This window comes from Homo sapiens, chromosome 5 (assembly GCF_000001405.40).
Source record: "Homo sapiens chromosome 5, GRCh38.p14 Primary Assembly".
Lineage (NCBI taxonomy): Eukaryota > Metazoa > Chordata > Mammalia > Primates > Hominidae > Homo > Homo sapiens.
This window is the reverse complement of record NC_000005.10, coordinates 17,870,706-17,888,812: the sequence shown is the minus strand read 5'-3', so window position 1 is coordinate 17,888,812 and position 18,107 is coordinate 17,870,706. Positions and strand designations below refer to the sequence as shown.

The following is an 18,107-nucleotide window of genomic DNA, read 5'->3' as shown; positions in this document are numbered from 1 at the left end:
ACTTTGTTTCTTTTGTTTAAGGTAAAGTTCAAAATGTATTGAAGTGTGTACATATTCATTAGAAAGTTATTATTAGCTTTACTAGTATTTTTATTAGGAGTATTTGTCTTAGTAAATTAGTTACAAAGCTGCACATGATTTTAGTGGCCCTCCTATGACCCTATGTTCAGCATAATCCTCTTTAATTTTTAATCCAATGATTCTGCAGAATATAAGCATTGTTTTTTTTTTTCAGAAACACACATATTGTGTTACAAGATATGTCCACAAGGCACACACATATAATCATTTGCTAGGTACTTCTGCCATCCTCTAACTTAAAAGAGCAAAGTGGCCTATATCTAAGTATTTCTATCCTGATCTACCTCCTTCAAGTGTTTGCACACACATGCACACATCCATACACACACACACAGACACACACACACACACACACACACACAAGCTATTTTCTACCAATGAGCATAATAACATAAAATCTCTGAATGCCATAAGGCATATTAAGAGGATTTGTTCATAAATTTAGCACTGTGGTAAGCATTTATATAAGTAGATTAGAGCATATTTACAACTCCAGGAGCTTGCATCCACAGGGCAGGCACAAATAATACTCACAAAACTGTTCAAAGCATTTACATAAGGCAGTGGAATTTTTGTCACAACAGTTGCCTCATCTAGGAAATATCACAAGAGTTCAGAGGAGGGGAGATCACTGGGGGTCCAAGTACATGCTCATATCAAGTCAAATCTAATCTAGAGTGACTAAAGAAACTGGAAGAAATAGGAATATATGTCATCTTCCTGAGCATCAATTTTACTCAATGGTAATTTAAAACTTTAATATCTTTGTGAAATATGGCTATGTGTGGAAGTCAGGTTTCAAATATGTAGGATAATTTAGAAAAGCTTCATGTGTGGCAGAACACTTCAGTCTTGGCCGGACCACTCTTTCCACCCTCTTCCTCCAATGTATGGCTCGTCTCTTATTCTATTTTTTGATTAGAAAAAAATGATAAACAGAAAATTAACAAGTTCATACCAAATGTCCACATACAAACTATCCATGTTGAATATTTTGCCTTATCTCTTTTAAATCACTTTAGAGAAAATGTAACATAAGGAATTAATGCCTCCTTTGTAATCCACAACCATTTCAAACCCAAACCTTCCTTTCTCCACAGAGAAAATGCATCTTCCTAAAAATACCATATATAATTTCTGTCAATGTTTGCATGCTGTTAACTATAAATACAATATACATATAAAACTATAACATAGAGATATTTTTAAATAATGCATATTCCTGTTTTGATATTTTACAAGGTTTTTTAAAAGAGATCATTTTATATAACATTGTGCAACTAGTTTTTTTTCATTTGTTATATATTCTGAAGAATTATATAACCTGATATATCGATTACTAGATTATGCATTATAATAGCTAAAAAAATATTCCATTTTATGATACACCAAAACAACTTTATCTCTCCTGCCTTTGATAGACATGTTTCTCTACTACAAGCAATGCTACTAAAATATTTTTCTTGAGAGGAGAAGAAAATGGATAGGAGACAGGACTAACGTGCAGCTCCCACTTTGACAGACAGAACTGTGTGTGGAGACTCACATTTTGAGCTTTTGCTCCAAGAATGTATTAGTTTGTTTAAATGGTGCTGATAAAAACGTACACCAGACTGATCAATTTATAAAAGAAAGATTTAACTGGACTTACAGTTCCACGTGGCAGGGGAAGCCTCATAATCATAGCAGAAAGCCAGGAAGAGCAAGTCACATCTTAACATGGATGGCAGTAAACAAATATGAGAGAGCTTGTGCAGAGGAATCCTTCTTTTTAAAATTATCAGATCCCATAAGACTTATTCACTATCACAAGAACAGCACAGGAAACACTTGCCCCCATGATTCAATTACCTTCCACCAGGTGCCCCCTAACAACACGTGAGAATTCAACATGAGATTTGGGTAGGGACACAGCCAAACGATATAATTCCACCCCTAGCCCCACCCAAATATCATGTCATCACCTTTCAAAAGCAATCATGCTTTCCCAACAGTCCTCCAAAGTCTTAACTAATTTCAGCATTAACTCAAAAGTCCACAGTCCAAAGTCTCATCTGAGACAAGGCAAAACATTTCTGCCTATGAGCCTTTAAAATCAAAAGCAACTTAGTTACTTCCTAGATGCAATGAGGGTACAGACACTGGGTTAATACAGTCATTCCAAATGGGAAAAATTGACCAAAACAAAGGAGCTACAGGCCCCAGGTATGCCTGAAATCCAGTGGGGCAGTCAAATCTTTCTTTCTTTTCTTTTTTTTTTTTTTTTTTTAAGACAGAGTCTCACTCTGTCTCCCAGGCTGGAGTGCAGTGGCATGATCTCTGCTCATTGCAAGCTCTGCCCCCTGGGTTCATGCCATTCTCCTGCCTCAGCCTCCTGAGTAGCTGGGACTACAGGCGCCCACCACTACACCCGGCTAATTTTTTTTTTTTTTTGTATATTTAGTAGAGACAGGGTTTCACCATGTTATCCAGGATGGTCTCGATCTCCTGACCTCATGATCCACCCACCTCAGCCTCCCAAAGTGCTGGGATTACAGGTGTGAGCCACTGCACCTGGCGGGGAGTCAAATCTTAAAGCTCCAAAATGATCTCCTTTGACTCCATGTCTCACATTCAGGTCACGCTGATGCAACAGGTAGATTCCCATAGTCTTGGGATGCTCCACCCCTGTGGCTTTGCAGGGTAAAGACTCCCTCCTGGCTGCCTTCACAGGCTGGCATTGAGTGTCTTTTGCTTTTCCAGGCACATGATGCAAGCTGTCAGTGGATCTACCACTCTGAGGTCTGGAGGATGGTGGTCCTCTTCCTCACAGCTCCACTAGGCAGTGCCCCAATAGGGACTCTGTGTGGGGGTTCCCACCTCACATTTCCCTTCTGCACTGCCCTGGCAGAGGTTCTCCATGAGGACCCTGCCCCTACAGCAAACTTCTGCCTGGGCATCCAGGCTTTTCCATACATCTTCTGAAATCTAGGTGGTGGTTCCCAAACCTCAATTCTTGACTTCTGTGCACCTGCACGCTCAACACCATGTGGAAGCTGCCAAGGCTTGAGGCTTGCACCCTCTGAAGCCACAGCCCAAGCTGTACCTTGGCCCCTTTTAGGCACAGGTGGAGTGGCTGGGATACAGGGTACCAAGTCCCTAGACTGTACACACCATGAGGACCCTGGGCCTGGCCCACAAAACTATTTTTTCCTCCTAGGTCTCCAGGCCTCTCATGGGAGGGGCTGCCATGAAGACCTCTGACATGCCCTGGAGACATTTTCCTCACTGTCTTGGGGGTTAACATTTGGCTCCTCATTACTTATGCAGGTTTCTGTAGCTAGCTTGAATTTCTCCTCAGAAAATGGGATTCTCTTTTCTATCACATTGTCAGGCTGCAAGTTTTTTGAACTTTTATGCTCTGCTTCCCTTATAAAACTGAATGCCTTTAACGGCACCCAAGTCACCTCTTGAATGCTTTGCTACTTAGAAATTTCTTCTGCCAGATACCCAAAATCATCTCTCTCAAGTTCAAAGTTCCGCAAACCTCTAGGGCAGGGGCAAAATGCCACCAGTCTCTTTGCTAAAACATAACAAGAGTCATCTTTGCTCTAGCTCCCGACAAGTTCCTCATCTCCATCAGAGACAACCTCTCCCTGGATTTCATTGTTCATATCATTATCAGCATTTTGCTCAAAGTGATTCAACAAATCTCTAAGATGTTCCAAACTTTCCCACATTTTCCTGTCTTCTGAGCCCTCCAAACTGTTTCATCCTCTGCCTGTTACCCAGTTCCAAAGTCGCTTCCACATTTTCAGGTATCTTTTAGCAGCACCACATTCTACTTGTTCCAATTTACTGTATTAGTTTGTTTTCATGGTGCTGATAAAGATATACCCAAGACTGAGCAATTTACAAAGGAAAGAAGTTTAATTGGACTTACAGTTTCACATGGCTGAGAAGGCCTCACAATCATGGCAGAAGGCAAGGAGAAGCAAGTCACATCTTATGTGGATGGTGACAGACCAAAAATAAGAGAGCTTGTGCAGGGGAACACCTCTTTTTAAAACCATCAGATCTTGTGAGACTTATTCACTCTCACGAGAACAGCACGGGAAAGAGCTGCCCCCATGATCCAATTACCTCCCACCGGGTCCCTCCCACAACACATGGAAATTCAAGATGAGATTTGGTTGGGGACACAGCCAAACCATATCAAAGAACCACTTCAGGAACATACCAGGGAAACAGAAAGAGTTCAGAGGCTTTGAAAGAAATGGTGTGTCGCTGCAAACTCCATGAAGAGCCAAAAAACTGTGAGTTCCCAAAGTGTGAGAGGAGGGAACGTCTGCCTCTGAACATACATCCCTGCTGAGTATTCTGAAAAATCCAGATAGTGGGAGAAAGATTTAGCCTTACCTAGAGTTGAAATGGATTTAGGGAGCTAAGAGAAATACAAAAGTAGAAGAAACAGTGTGGGCCAGGCATGGTGGCTCACACCTGTAATCCCAGCATTTTGGGAGGCTGAGGTGGGTCAATCACCTGAGGTCAGGAGTTTGAAACCAGCCTGGCCAACATGGCAAAACCCAGTATCTACTAAAAGTACAAAATTAGCCGGGCATGGTGGTGGGTGCCTGTAACCTCAACTACTCAGGAGGCTGAGGCACGAGAATCACTTGAACCCAGGAGGCAGAGGTTGCAGTGAGCTGAGATCATGCCACTGCACTCCAGCCTGGGTGACAGAGCAAGATTCTGAAAAAAATAAAATAAAAAATTAAAAAAAAAAAAAGAAAGAAGGAAAGAAAGAAAGGGGGAGAGAGGGAGAGAGAGAGAGAGAAAGAAAGAAAGAAAGAAAGAAAGAAAGAAAGAAAGAAAGAAAGAAAGAAAGAGAGAGAGAGAAAGAGAGAAAGAAAAGGAAGGAAGGAAGGAAAGAAGGAAGGGAGGAAGGGAGGGAGGGAGGAAGAGAGAGAGAAAGAGAGAAGAGCCCTGTAGGCATTCCTTGTCCCCAGCTCAAATCCAGGGAAGCCATCCCTGAGTTTATCTCACAGGGGTCCTTGGTGAAGGCAGCCCACAGAATTAGAGAGGGGCTACAGGGTGAAAGAAGCTTCTAGCTGAACTTTGTAATAACTCTGACTGAGCATAATTTTTCCTGCGTAGAATCTAGGGGTGAACAGGAAGTGCGGATGCAAGCACAGGAGCCACAGCTGATGCTGTAGGTAGGTGGAGAGGGACAAGGCCTGAAAACCCTGCTTGCTTTCTCAGCAGGGAGGCCTGTTGCCTGGGAAAAGATCTCAGCACTATGCACCAGCTGGCTGGATATAAACTCAGCACTGTTGGTGGGGCACAGCGGGAGTGAGACTGCCCTTGCTGGCTGCGTAGGAGCTGGGTGAAGCTTATCACTTCTGGCTTCCCTGGCAACCTGTATGAGACAACAGAGACAGCCATAATCCCCTTTGGAACATAACTCCATTGCCTGAGAACCACCCCCTACCCCCAACAGTGACCACAGCAGGCCCCAGCCAAAGAGAGTCATAGCTCAGACACGCCTCATCCTGTCTCCACCTGCTGGTCTTTCTCTACCTGCACTGGTAGCCAAAGACAAAAGACATAAATTCCTTGGAGCTCTACGGCCCCACCCATTTCCTGAGAAATGTGAATACTTACCCTAGCCAACTTAGGGCAAGCTTATATCCCTCTTCTGCTACCACAGCTGGTGCTCTCTTGAAAGTGCCACCTCCTGGCTGTAGGCCAACAAACTCAAGCCAACAACTCACAACAAAACAATCCTGCTCCACAGAAGGAGAAAACAACACCTGCAACATCCTGGCTAACCAGAGGTCCTGAGTCTGTCCATGTGACAACTTCACTGCTAGCATCACCAGCATTCAATAAAACCAGCACACTAAAAAAAATTACAACCAAGGACTTTCACAGAGTCTACCTCACTCCCCTGCCACCTCCAACAGAGTAGGCGCCGGTATCCATGGCTGGGAGACCTGAAGATGAATCGCATCGCAGGACTCTTTGCAGACATTTCCCAGCACCAACCCAGAGCCTGGTAGCCCCGATGGGTGGCTAGACCCGGAAAAGCAATAACAATCACTGCAGTCAGCTCTCAGGAAGCCCCATCCCTAGGGTAAAGAGGAGAGAACCCAGAAATAAAGTCAAATACTTACAGCTAACTGATCTTCAACAAAGCAAACAAAAACACAAAGTGGGAAAAGGACATCTTATTCAACAAATGGTGGTGGGATAATTGGCAAGCCACATATAGAAGAATGAAATTGGATCCTCATCTTTCACCCTATACAAAAATCAACTCAAGACATATCAAAGAATTAAATCTAAGACTTTAATCCATAAAAATTCTAGAAGATAACATCAGAAAAACTCTTCTAGACATTGGCTTAGGTAAAGAGTTCATGACGAATAAATCAAAAGCAAATGCAAGAAAAATAAAGACAAATAGATGGGACTTAATTAAACTAAAAAGCATCTGCACAGCAAAAGAAATAATCAGCAGAGTAAACAGACAACCCACAGAGTGGGAGAAAATCTTCACAATCTGTGCATCCGACAAAGGACTAGTATCCAGAATCTACAAGGAACTCAAACAAATCAGCAAGAAAAAAACAATTCCATCAAAAGGTGGGCTAAGAACATAAATAGACAATTCTCAAAAGAATATATACAAATGGCCAACAAATGTGAAAAAAATGCTCAACATCACTAATGATCAGGGAAATCAAAACCACAATGCAATACCACTACTATGAGAATAGTCATAATTAAAAAATCAAAAAATAATAGATGTTGGTGTGGGTATGGTGAAAATGGAACACTTTTACACTGCTGGTGGGAATGTAAACTAGTACAACTACTATGGAAAACAGTATGAAGACTCCTTAAAGAAGTAAAAAAAGAACTACCATTTGATCCAGCAATCCCACTACTGGGTATCTACCCAGAGGAAAAGAAGTCATTATATGAAAAAGACACTTGCACAGACATGTTTATAGCAGCACAATTTGCAATTTCAGAAACATGGAACCAGCCTAAATACCCATCAATTAATGAGTGCATAAAGAAACTGTGAGATAGATAGATATATAGATATATAAATATAGATATATATATAATTACAGAAATGGTGTGTGTGTATATATATATATATATATATATATCTCTCTCACAGAAATGGTGTATGCATATATATAAAACAGAATACTACTCAGCCATAAAAAGGAATAAAATAATTACAAACACACCAATCTGGATGGCATTGAAAACCATTAATCTAAATGAAGTAAATGAAGTAACTCAAGAATGGAAAACCAAACATGGTATGTTCTCACTTATAAGTGGGAGCTATGCTATGAGGACACAAATGCATAAGAATGAGATAATAGACTCTGGGGATACTGGGGGAAAGGTGGGACAGAGAGGATGGATAAAAGACTCCACATGGGGTACAGTGTACACTGGCTGGGTGATGGTTGCATCACAATCTCAGAAATCACCACTAAAGAACTTATGCATGTAACCAACCACCACCTATTACCCAAAACCGCCGAAATAATAAAAAATAAAACAAAACATAAAACTTTTCTTTCTGTGCCTCCTTTTATGCATGTGCAAAAGTATCTTCAACTGATTCCTAGAAGTTGAAATGCCAAGTCATCATTTATGCACAGCTTCAACTTCAACAGACATTGCCAAATGGTTACGTGTGGTGTTGAGAGCATTTGTGCCATTCAACAAATGCACTGGCCTCTCTGCCTTCCAGGCATTTCTGCCCTACATAGGTTTAGGGGGTACCATATGATTGGACAACAATTAACAAACAGACGGGTTTTGTGATATTTACCACTTTTAAGAGTACAAAGTTATTTCTCATTTTTAATTTTAATTTTAGTTTTTTGGTTTTTATTTTAATTCCCTTGATAGCATATAAGAAGGTTGGGAACTTCATCATCTGTTTATTGGCCGTTCGGGTTTATTAGCCATGAGAATTTCAGCATTGAGGAATTCATATTATTGCCAATTTTTCTATTGCATTGGCTACATTTTCTTAATTGCCATTCATTCTAGATTCTGGATACATATCAATTAACAATTTGTATCTATAAATTATCAATGTCATCTCCTAGTTTGTGTTTCATCTTTTTATTTTGTGTAACATACATTTTGTCTTAGAGACTATGTTTTTAATTTTAAATATTTAAAGGTTTAAATTTACTTATAATTTATAATTTTTGCTTATTTAAAATAGATTTCCTTACCGCTCTCATAAATGTGGTCTCATAATTTTGCCTTTTTTCTTAGTTTGAGTGGTTTGGTAGAAGTAAAAATTATAATTTGGGATATAGAACACTATTCTTATCCCTAAAGGTTAGACCTGTAGTCAGACACATGTATAAAATTTCTTATATAGTAGATTCATTTTTTAGAAGTTACTCAACATTAACATTAATAAATAAAAATGTATTTTAAATATCTAACACTCTCCATCATTTATGAAATCAGTGTTAAGATATTCCAAATAGTGTAGTATCATCTTTAATGTTTTTTTCAAAGCATATTAATTCCAGGTTTTCTAGAGCCAAAAGAAGTGGTTCAGAAAAGAATGAGCAAAATAATATGTCTTATTATTGTTAGTGAGACTTATATAAAGTCAGAAAAACATTCAGTGAAGATCATTTTATTATTTCATGTGATACTAAGTGGACATTTAAAGTATTTAAAGAATCAACAGAATGAGACTTCTGTGCACAATAATGCTAACTGAAAAATTCAGACCAACCCTCCAAACAAAGACACTAAAATATAAGGGTTAATTATCTTTTTAAAAAATCTTCCTAAAAGTAACAACCATCACGTAATTATTTACTACACCAAAACCTAGAAGAAGAAATGAATGAAGCCAGACAAGGTCAGCACTCAAAAAAATGTCAGCACATTTTTTGCCTCTGAGAATATGTATATATATTTAATTATGGGAGAAAAATCCTGAGATATAATTGAATTTTGGTGACGATGCAGGACCAAAGGAAAAACATAAAGTCCATGGTCCCCCTGAGATTTGAAATGTTCAAGCAGGAATCCTAATTTATTCCTTTTCTTTATGCACAAATTTAAAGAAATAGATTTCAGAGTAAGTATGAATCACAATTAAACTAGTCCTCTCCCAAAGTTGCAGTCTAGCTTTGAACATCTGAGCGATGATCAGGAATTCTTCAGCCTAGAACTTAGAGTATAAGAGGAAGGAGGTGCTTCAGTGAACAATTGTGCATTGTCTAGAGCAGAAGTTGGCAAACCACAGCCTCTGGCCACATCCAGCCCATCATCTCTTTCTGTAAATAAAATGGTATTTGAACATAGTTGCAACAATATATTTCCATATTATTTATGGTTACTTCAGCTCCACAGTGGCTGAGTTGAGTAGTTACGGCAAAGACAATATGGCCCACAAGGTCTGAAATATTTACTATGTAGCTTTTTACAGAAAAGGTTTGCCCACCCCTATCTAGAGCACACCTTCTGAGTTACCTTATTCTGATTCTGATATTTTATAGCTCTGTAGGTTATTTATAACCTACAATACTACAGACAAGAATTTGATAGCAATACTCAAATTCTTGTCTGTAGACATGGAAAGCCTCTATCCCCCATTGTGACTGAAGAGAGTTTTATTTCCATTTGCACATTCATTTCCAAATTCCTGATCTTTAAATATGTTTTCTGGATTTCCCTTTGAGCTAGTTAAACATCTTCCCAGTTTCCTAATTAATGAGTTAAATAAAATCCTTAACACAGATTCATTCTTCCATCTGCATGAAGTCATGATTTTAAATTTCTTTTGAAAATTATTTTTAACAGTGCTCTCAAATTGTCACTATTTGAGGTTAAGCTACATATTTGTATAATAAAGTCATTCTTAGACAGCATATATTGACTTAATGATGAAATATGTAAGACTGCTAGGCCATTTTGCTATGTTGGGGGCAATTTTTTCCTGCAGTTTCATATTGAACTATTAGAATTCAGCAGACCAAATTGCGTCAGATCCGCTAGGATCTGATATGTTGAGATACATAAAGCTTATGACTCCATATAAAGACAGTCTTGCTATTTGTAGAGCTGCCACACATTTGTGTCCTAAAAACCTGAGAACTCCAATAAAATGTGTTTTACATGATTTCCATCCAAAGTAAAATGTGGTGTGCTTATAATTTTATTTACTGCTTTGTTTAGTCTGGTTTTAAAGGAAAGGTTCTCTGTTTCAACAAGCTCAGTGAGAGCTAAATCTTGCACTTAAGTTTTACACATCCAATGATGAGACACATTTTCCAATGACGTGCTTCTGCTTTGTACATTTCAAAATGCGTTTCTTTACAACTCATATATATCCAGTGCTGTGTGCTAAAGGAAATGATATGCTGAAATAGATGACAACAACTGAGCTATACATGAACATGACTGTGACACACCCAATTATATCCCCCTGAACACAAACCAATGGTATTGCCGTCTCTACCTCCCCTTAGCTGAATCCCAAATGGACCTGATCCACCCTACATGAAGGGACGTGTGATAGGAAGGCAGAATGAAAGAAATATAGTCTAAACTAAATTGCATTAAAATATTTTACTTCTAAACATACTTCCAGGGTTCTTCATGAGGTGTACAGTAACATGTTGCAGGCAGAGTCTAGGCTCACTCATTTTACGCCTTATGCTGGCTTAAGGCTGGTACCTTGCAGACCTGTAATTACATAATGAATGGTGGTTTCAGAAAGAGGATGCTTCAGGTATCATTACATCTTAATGTAATACAGGATGAAGGACCACAGGAAATGACCAAGATCAAGATTTATTTGATTTCTCTTTTTATTACAAAATTTAAATAAATATTTTAAAAAGAAAAAATCATTTTGTCATGGCATAACAATTTAGCCCCAAATAATATACACCATCTGGTTCCTGAAAGGGAGAAAAAAAGTCCAACTTTCTCAATAGTCAAAGCTAAAGTCTGTTATCCAATAATATGTAGAAAAAAAAAACACACTTTAAAGCCATATGTAAAGTTGAAGCAAATAGTGGTCTCAACTACCTGATTTAAGTTTAACCAAGGAGCTCTCAAAAATAGAAATTGATCTGATTCCTATATATGTATACCTAAATGTTTTTGTGAATTCTTTCCAGGTGAGCAGTTTCTATGACACTGTACCAGTGGCACCCTATTGTCACAGACATTATTATGCTGAAGCTAGATTGCAGATCTGTGAAATTAGGGTATTACAAGATTTCTACAACTGGGAATCAATACAGGATCAGTACTTCACCTGACCCTTTCTCATCACTAAAGCCGCATCATTAGATTGTACATATTTTACTGCATAAGAGCATCTGAGTGTTTGATGTCTTGAATTGCTCAATTTTCCAATAATTTAAATGGACAGATGTCCCACTGTTCTTGATACTCACCCACCGGATTTAAATAGCTTCTTTATTTAAAAAGATTTGTGTCTGCTCTCAAATATAGAGGAATTAATGTTCCACATGAACACGTTTTGTTTGGTAGGAAATCTACAAGCTCTGCAGAATCTCTGGCACAATTTACAATCAATATAATATATTAAATTAGAAGGAACACTCTGGCCAATGTGAATACTGATCTCCAATATTTGTCTTGTGCAACCTATCAGTAAAATATATGTGTTTTCAAGTATAAGTTATATCATTATATGCCATGAATATTAATAACTTTAATACACATAAAATACTTCCAGGTAAAGTTATCATATTTAACATACACATCTACTTTGGCTGTCTCCCCAAACCCCAATAAATAACAGTAAAAATGTAACGTGAATATCATTAAACCACAAAGAAAAATAGAGAGGAGACCACAGCAATAGAATGTTGGAAGCTGAAAAGTACAAGGACTAGGGATAAATGACTTAGGAAGAGAAATTAAAGCTAAGCTAAAGCTAAGTGTGAAAAGTCATTTTATAACATCCTAACTTATGCTGCAAAGTTCCAAAAGACTAAGAAATTTGAGGCACTAGGAATTCACAGAAGTGAGGAAAAAACACAAAACTAAAACTAGAAGCTTTAAAAAATTAGTATGGAAGCTATTCAAGAGCTCCTTTCTCTGTTATGACAAAAGATTGATAAATAGGAGCCGAGTGTAATGGCTCATGCCAGTAATCCCAGCACTTTGGGAGGCCAAAGTGGGAGGATCCTTTGAGGCCAAGAGTATAAGGCCAGCCCACCTAGGCAACACAGCGAGACCCAATCTCTTAACAAAAAAAAAAAAAAAATAGCCAAGTGTAGTGGTGTGCATTTGTAGTTCTAGCTACTCGACAGGCTGAGGCAGGATAACAGCTTAAGCCCAGGAGTTTGAGGCTGAAGTGAGCTTTGATTGTGCTGCTGTATTCTAGCCTGGGTGACAGAACGAGACTCTGTCTCTAAAAAGATTGGCAAATAGTAAGATGGTAAACTAAAAAAGGTAGAAGTAGTTGCATCAGAGGAGGAAAAAAAAATGTTAATGATCTTTGTGAACCTCCTGAATCTACAAAATGCTTTGTATAAAACTAATGCAAATAGAAGAGTTAATATATTTTAATAATTAGACATTACCCTCCCTAATTTGAAGACCACTGGTATAGAAAATGGACTGGAGGAAGTGAATTAAAGGTAAAAGTCCCAGCAGTAAGACCATCATTTAGGGTCAAGAATAGGCATTAAATTGCCACTGCACTAGGCCTCAGGTCACTCTCATCAGGAGTGACAGGAGTCACAGCTGGGGTAGCTGCAGCTTCCATGGAAGTGTTCAGGTCACTCAAGAGACAAAGTTCACACTCAAGTTAGACTGGGTCTCCCCAAACCTGGTGAAGAGTAATACTGAGTGTATAGCCTTCAACTGTTGTCATCACAAATCAAGAGGGGCCCCAAGACTCCAGCCTGCCTCATCTCTACCTATGTTAGCCTCATCACTATTAACTACTCTGAGTCACCTGAAGTCATCTCAATAACCGGACACAATTTCTCTCTGTGTTAGTTGCTCCAAGATCCCTAACCCTCCCATCATTTTTGTTCTTCTACATTCTAAGTTTTCATATTGGGCTCTGAACATCACTACAGCTATTGATTTGAATCATTCTTTTGATGTCCTGTATGAAGCTCATTCTCAACATGTACTAGATTGTACTCTAGATGCTCACCAACCTACTTGATAACAATCCCATCTTTCCATTTTCTCATATTTCACTTGGTGCCATATTGACACTCTCCTTTCTCTCACATCCCACATTCAATCTGCCAGGAGATTTGGTAGGTTAATCTTAAAATCATGTCCATAATCCTCACCACATGCTTTCAATCTGGACTTTGCAACCACTCTTTCTTTCTTGGATTACTGCCATGGATTTCTAATAAGTCTTTCTAATTTTTCCTTGCCAACCATTCCACATTCTATTCCCAATACAGCAGCTACAAGGATTCGTAAGCCAGATTGTGTCATTCTTCAACCCAGCCATGGTTCTCCATATCCTGAATCATAATATCATAGCCCTGACAATCATCTACAATGCCCTCTGTATTCATCTTTCCCCTGACAGCTTTCTGGCCCCACCAATCATTGTTTTCATCAAAGGCAATAAGCATGCTTTAGCCCTAGCTCATTAGCTCTATCTGTACCCATTGCCTGGACCACTCTTCCCCTAATAACCACTTGACTAGCTTCTTTAATTACTTCAAACTCTTTCTCAAATAACAACTACTAAGGAGATCCTTCCTGACCATCTTATACAATTTTTGCATCCTGACAACACATTCTCCACAGCACTCACAATCCCATATTCTGTTCAATTTTTTTCTTTATTTTTTTAACACTTATCCCCTTCTACCATACCAAATAATTTACTTATGTGTGCCTACTAAACCTTTTATTTACTTGGCATCCTTGTCATTCAGTGTTTCTTTCCTTCTGTTAGTGTGTAAGCTCTACAAGGCAGGAATTTTTGTCTTGCTCAACAATATTCTCAATTACCTAGAGCAATGCTGGGCACATAGTAAACACTCAAAAAGTAATTTCTAAAAGGATGAATTAGTGTTACAATAGTATAAGCTAATAGAATACAATATGTAAAACTCATGTGGTGATTGTAAAAACCGACCTGGGGATTCCAGTAAATCAGAAGTTTAGGAATGTTTCAGTTTAATAAGGGAGAGATGGGATAAGAGAGCTCCTCATTTATGGACCAACTATTTTTAAAAATGGGCTCACCTGGCAGGTAGAATCATGGATAAAATCTGCTACTCCAAGATTTCCTATCTTGTCCTAATATTTGGTTGCCACGCAACCTAAGCCAACTGAGCGTTTTTTAAAGGGATAACATATTGTACATGTTCCAAGTTTTCTATGGTGAAGAGGAATTTAGGAAATTACTTGTCATACATAAAAACATGCTTATTTTAAAAAAATCAAACAACCTACAAGTAAATGGAGTAAACAGTGAAAAATCCCCCTTTCATTTCTCCTCTCTCAGTACTACTGCCTTTGAAGATAAAATTACTGTCAAACAGCTTGATATGTGTTATTGCAGTCTATTTCCCAGGTGAACTGAGCATTTAAGCCAAAAACAACTAAGCCTGAAAACAGATTCTAAAATCCTCTTAAAATGGTATTATTGATTCCCTACTGGTTAAGCATATTTTACTGTTAAAGTTTTAAAATTAAATATTAATGACAAAAGTAATTAAATCTTTAATAGTGATAATTCTGTATTAAAGAAAAATTCTCATATTTTATGTTTTTAGTTTATGTAGCTTTTAAGACACTTTTTCTTATTGTGGTAGCAGATTAGTTTATAATTTAAACTTAATATGAATATATAAGTAATTGTTTTATACTCACAATTTTTAACTTGAAATTCCACTAGGCTTACAAAACAATTAGACCTTTAAAATAATTGGAGTCAGCCAAGGCATAAGTTTAATTTTCTAGATTTCCAATAATTATTTTTAAGTGTGGGAATTTTGTTTTAATTTTGGATGAGGAAAATGATACCCATTAAAATAAGAATCAAATGTACTAAAATTATAAAAGATTTTAAAAATAGTAAAATATGTTATATATTTGAATCCTTTTGTAAAACTGCCTTTAATATAATCATTAAAATGTATTAGCTTTACCAAGGAAATAATCAGATATGTAGTTAAAAGCTAAATGATAAATCAGAGTTTTAAGAGTTTTACATTTAAATTTTAGTAAATGGAATATTAATATAAAAAATAAAGCAGCTCTAAGCTAATTTTTGTGCACAGTAATACCCACAAGGACATCTAATTTATTTTTTTTAAAAGTTCACATTGACATAAATGAGTTAAAAAGTTGTTGGAGACATGGTAATTTCGAATAGTCAGTAAGAGGAATAGCTCATAGCTCGACAAAACATTTTTATTGGCATTCCCTTCAACTATCTCTCTTTCACCTGCCTCCTGGAATCATCTTCCAAATACACTGCTTGCACCTAAGTCTTGACTCAGGCTCTGCTCAGAGCGAAAGGCAAATATGGGACAGAACATCACAGTACTCTTAAGAAGAAGACTTCCACTTCCAACCCAGCTGAAGGAACAGTGACTGGATTTACACACTTACCTGAAACAACAAAAAGCTGAAAAGAACAGGTTTGCAATAAACATCAGACAATGAAAGACAGTGCTCCCTGAAAGACAAGAAATAAAGAAAATGAGCTGTACAATTTCCCTAGTTTACAGTTTGGAAAAAAGTTTTCAGCTGAAGTTCAGGAGGGCCAAGGCCAGTAACATTTTTTTTTTTTTTTATTCTGTTTCTTTCTTTGAATAGATAAACTTCCACTACTGTTCTAACGATGCAATTTTTAAATGAGAAAAACTCTGGTCATAACGTTTCTCCACTCCCTCAGCCCCCCAACTTGGTGAGGTGTCATTTACAATTAAAAATTGTATGTATTTAAAATGTACTGGCAGGGCGTGGTGGCTCACACCTGTAATCCCAGCACTTTGGAAGGCCAAGGCGGACGGATCATGAGGTCAGGAGATCGAGACCAGGTCATCCTGGCTAACATGGTGAAACCCCGTCTCTACTAAATATACAAAAAATTAGCCTGGCGTGGTGGTGGGCGCCTGTAGCCATTCTTGGCACCCTTGAGCAAACAAAGATCAAAGAATCATAGATTGATAGATTTATCTTTTATCTCTAGGTTCTGTTTCATTGCTCTATATATCTGTTCTTTCCTGCCAGTACCATATTGTTTTGATAATTTCGTAATACATTTTGAAATCAGGAAGCATGACGTCTCTTGCTTTGTTCTTGCTCAAGATTGTTTTGGCTATTTGGGGTCTTTTGTGGTTCCACATGAATGTTGGCATTGGTTTTGTCTTTCTGTAAAAACATAATTGGGATTTTGGTAGGAATTGTGTTGAATTTATACATCATCTTGGGTAGTATGAATAGACATTTTAACAATATTAAGACTTCCAATCCCTGAACAGGGAATAATTTTTCCATTTCTCTGTATCTTCTTCAATTTCCTTTATCAATTATTTATAATTTTTAGTATACAAACTTTTTACCTCTTTAGTTAAGTTCATTTCCAAGTGTTTTATTCTTTTTGTGATTATGAGATTGCTTTCTAAATTTCCTTTTGGATAGTGTATTATTTTTGTATAGAAACACAATTTTTATATGTTCATTTTGTATCCTGCAACTTTAGTGAACTTGTTTGTTATTACAGGGTTTTTTGTTGTGTTGTAGGGCTTTCTCTTCTTTTTTACCTCACAAAGATACTTTTTTGTATTTTTTTAAGAGCAATTGAAATCTACTCTTCAGGGTTTTCTGTGGTCATGTTGTCTGCAAATGGATATAACTTTACTTCTTCCTTTTTTATTGGAATACCTTTTTTTTTCTTTTCTACTTGTTCTGGCTAAGACATCCAGAAATATGTAGAATAAAAGTGATTAGAGTGGGCCTCCTTATCTTGTTCTTGATCTTAGGAGAAAAGTTTTCTACTTTTCCCTATTGAGTATGATGTTAACTGTGGGCTTAGAGTATATGGCCTTTATTGTGTTGAGGTAAGCTTCTTCTATACCTATTTTGCTAAGAGTTTTAATCATGAATAGATGTTGAGTTTTGTCAAATGCCCTCTCTGTATCTATTGAGATGACTTTTTTTTTTCATTTTGTTAATGTGGAATAGCACTTCCATTGATTTGCATATGCTGACCATTCTTGCATCCCATGGATAAATTATGCTTGGCCATGCTGTGAGATTATTTTAATGTACTACTGAATTTAGTTTGCTAGTATTTTATTAAGAATGTTTGCATCTATGTTTATCACGGATGTTGACCTGTAGGGTTTTTTTCCTTATAGTGTCTTTGTCTGGTTTTTATATTAGGTTGGTTTAAAATTAATGGCAAAAACCACAATTACTTTTACACCAACCTAACACATTATGACATTGGCCTTATAGAATGAGTTTTAAAGTGTTCCCTTTTTAAATTAATGGAGTAGTTTAAAGAGGATTTATATGAATGCTTCTTTGAATATTTGGTAGAGTCAATCTGTGAAGCCATCTGGTCCCAGGTGTTTCTTTTTTGGGGGATTTTCCTATTGCCGATTAAATCTCTTTATTTGTTATCAGTCTGTTAGGGCTGTTTCTTATTGATTCAGTTGTGGCAGGTTGTGTGTTTCCAGGAGTTTATCTATGACTTCTTGGTTATCCAGTTGGTTGGCATATAATTGCTCATAGTAGTCCCTTAAGACCCATTTTAATTATGAGGCACGTATTGTAATGTTTCCTCTTTCATTTTTGATTCTATTATTTGAGTCCATTCTCTCCTATTTTAGGTGGTCTAGCTAAAGGTTTTTCAATTGTTTTTTCTTTTCTAAAAAACAACTGCTTAAAAAATTTTCAACAAAATATCAGCAAAGTGAATTCGCCAACACATTAAAAAGATCATTCATCATGACAAAGTGGGATTTATTCTTGGAATACAA

General features: G+C 37.3%; 1 long non-coding RNA gene across 1 annotated transcript in view, besides 2 other annotated features; it reads right to left on the bottom strand.

The window, feature by feature from the left end:
• LINC02223 (long intergenic non-protein coding RNA 2223) overlaps positions 1-18,107 on the bottom strand; it is a 123,216-nt gene that overhangs the window by 41,677 nt on the left and 63,432 nt on the right. Inside the window, exon 5 of the long non-coding RNA NR_134286.1 lies at positions 15,727-15,793. This is a non-coding gene — a long non-coding RNA (long intergenic non-protein coding RNA 2223). The remainder of the gene's footprint in view (positions 1-15,726; positions 15,794-18,107) is intronic.
• Positions 4,767-5,625: an enhancer, noted in NCBI's record as "H3K27ac hESC enhancer chr5:17883297-17884155 (GRCh37/hg19 assembly coordinates)". NCBI's record gives its function as "activates a minimal SCP1, AML or CMV promoter by ChIP-STARR-seq in primed H9 embryonic stem cells {active_cell/tissue: H9 hESC(primed)}" and the evidence as "EXISTENCE:reporter gene assay evidence [ECO:0000049][PMID:30033119]".
• Positions 5,626-6,485: an enhancer, noted in NCBI's record as "H3K27ac hESC enhancer chr5:17882437-17883296 (GRCh37/hg19 assembly coordinates)". NCBI's record gives its function as "activates a minimal SCP1, AML or CMV promoter by ChIP-STARR-seq in primed H9 embryonic stem cells {active_cell/tissue: H9 hESC(primed)}" and the evidence as "EXISTENCE:reporter gene assay evidence [ECO:0000049][PMID:30033119]".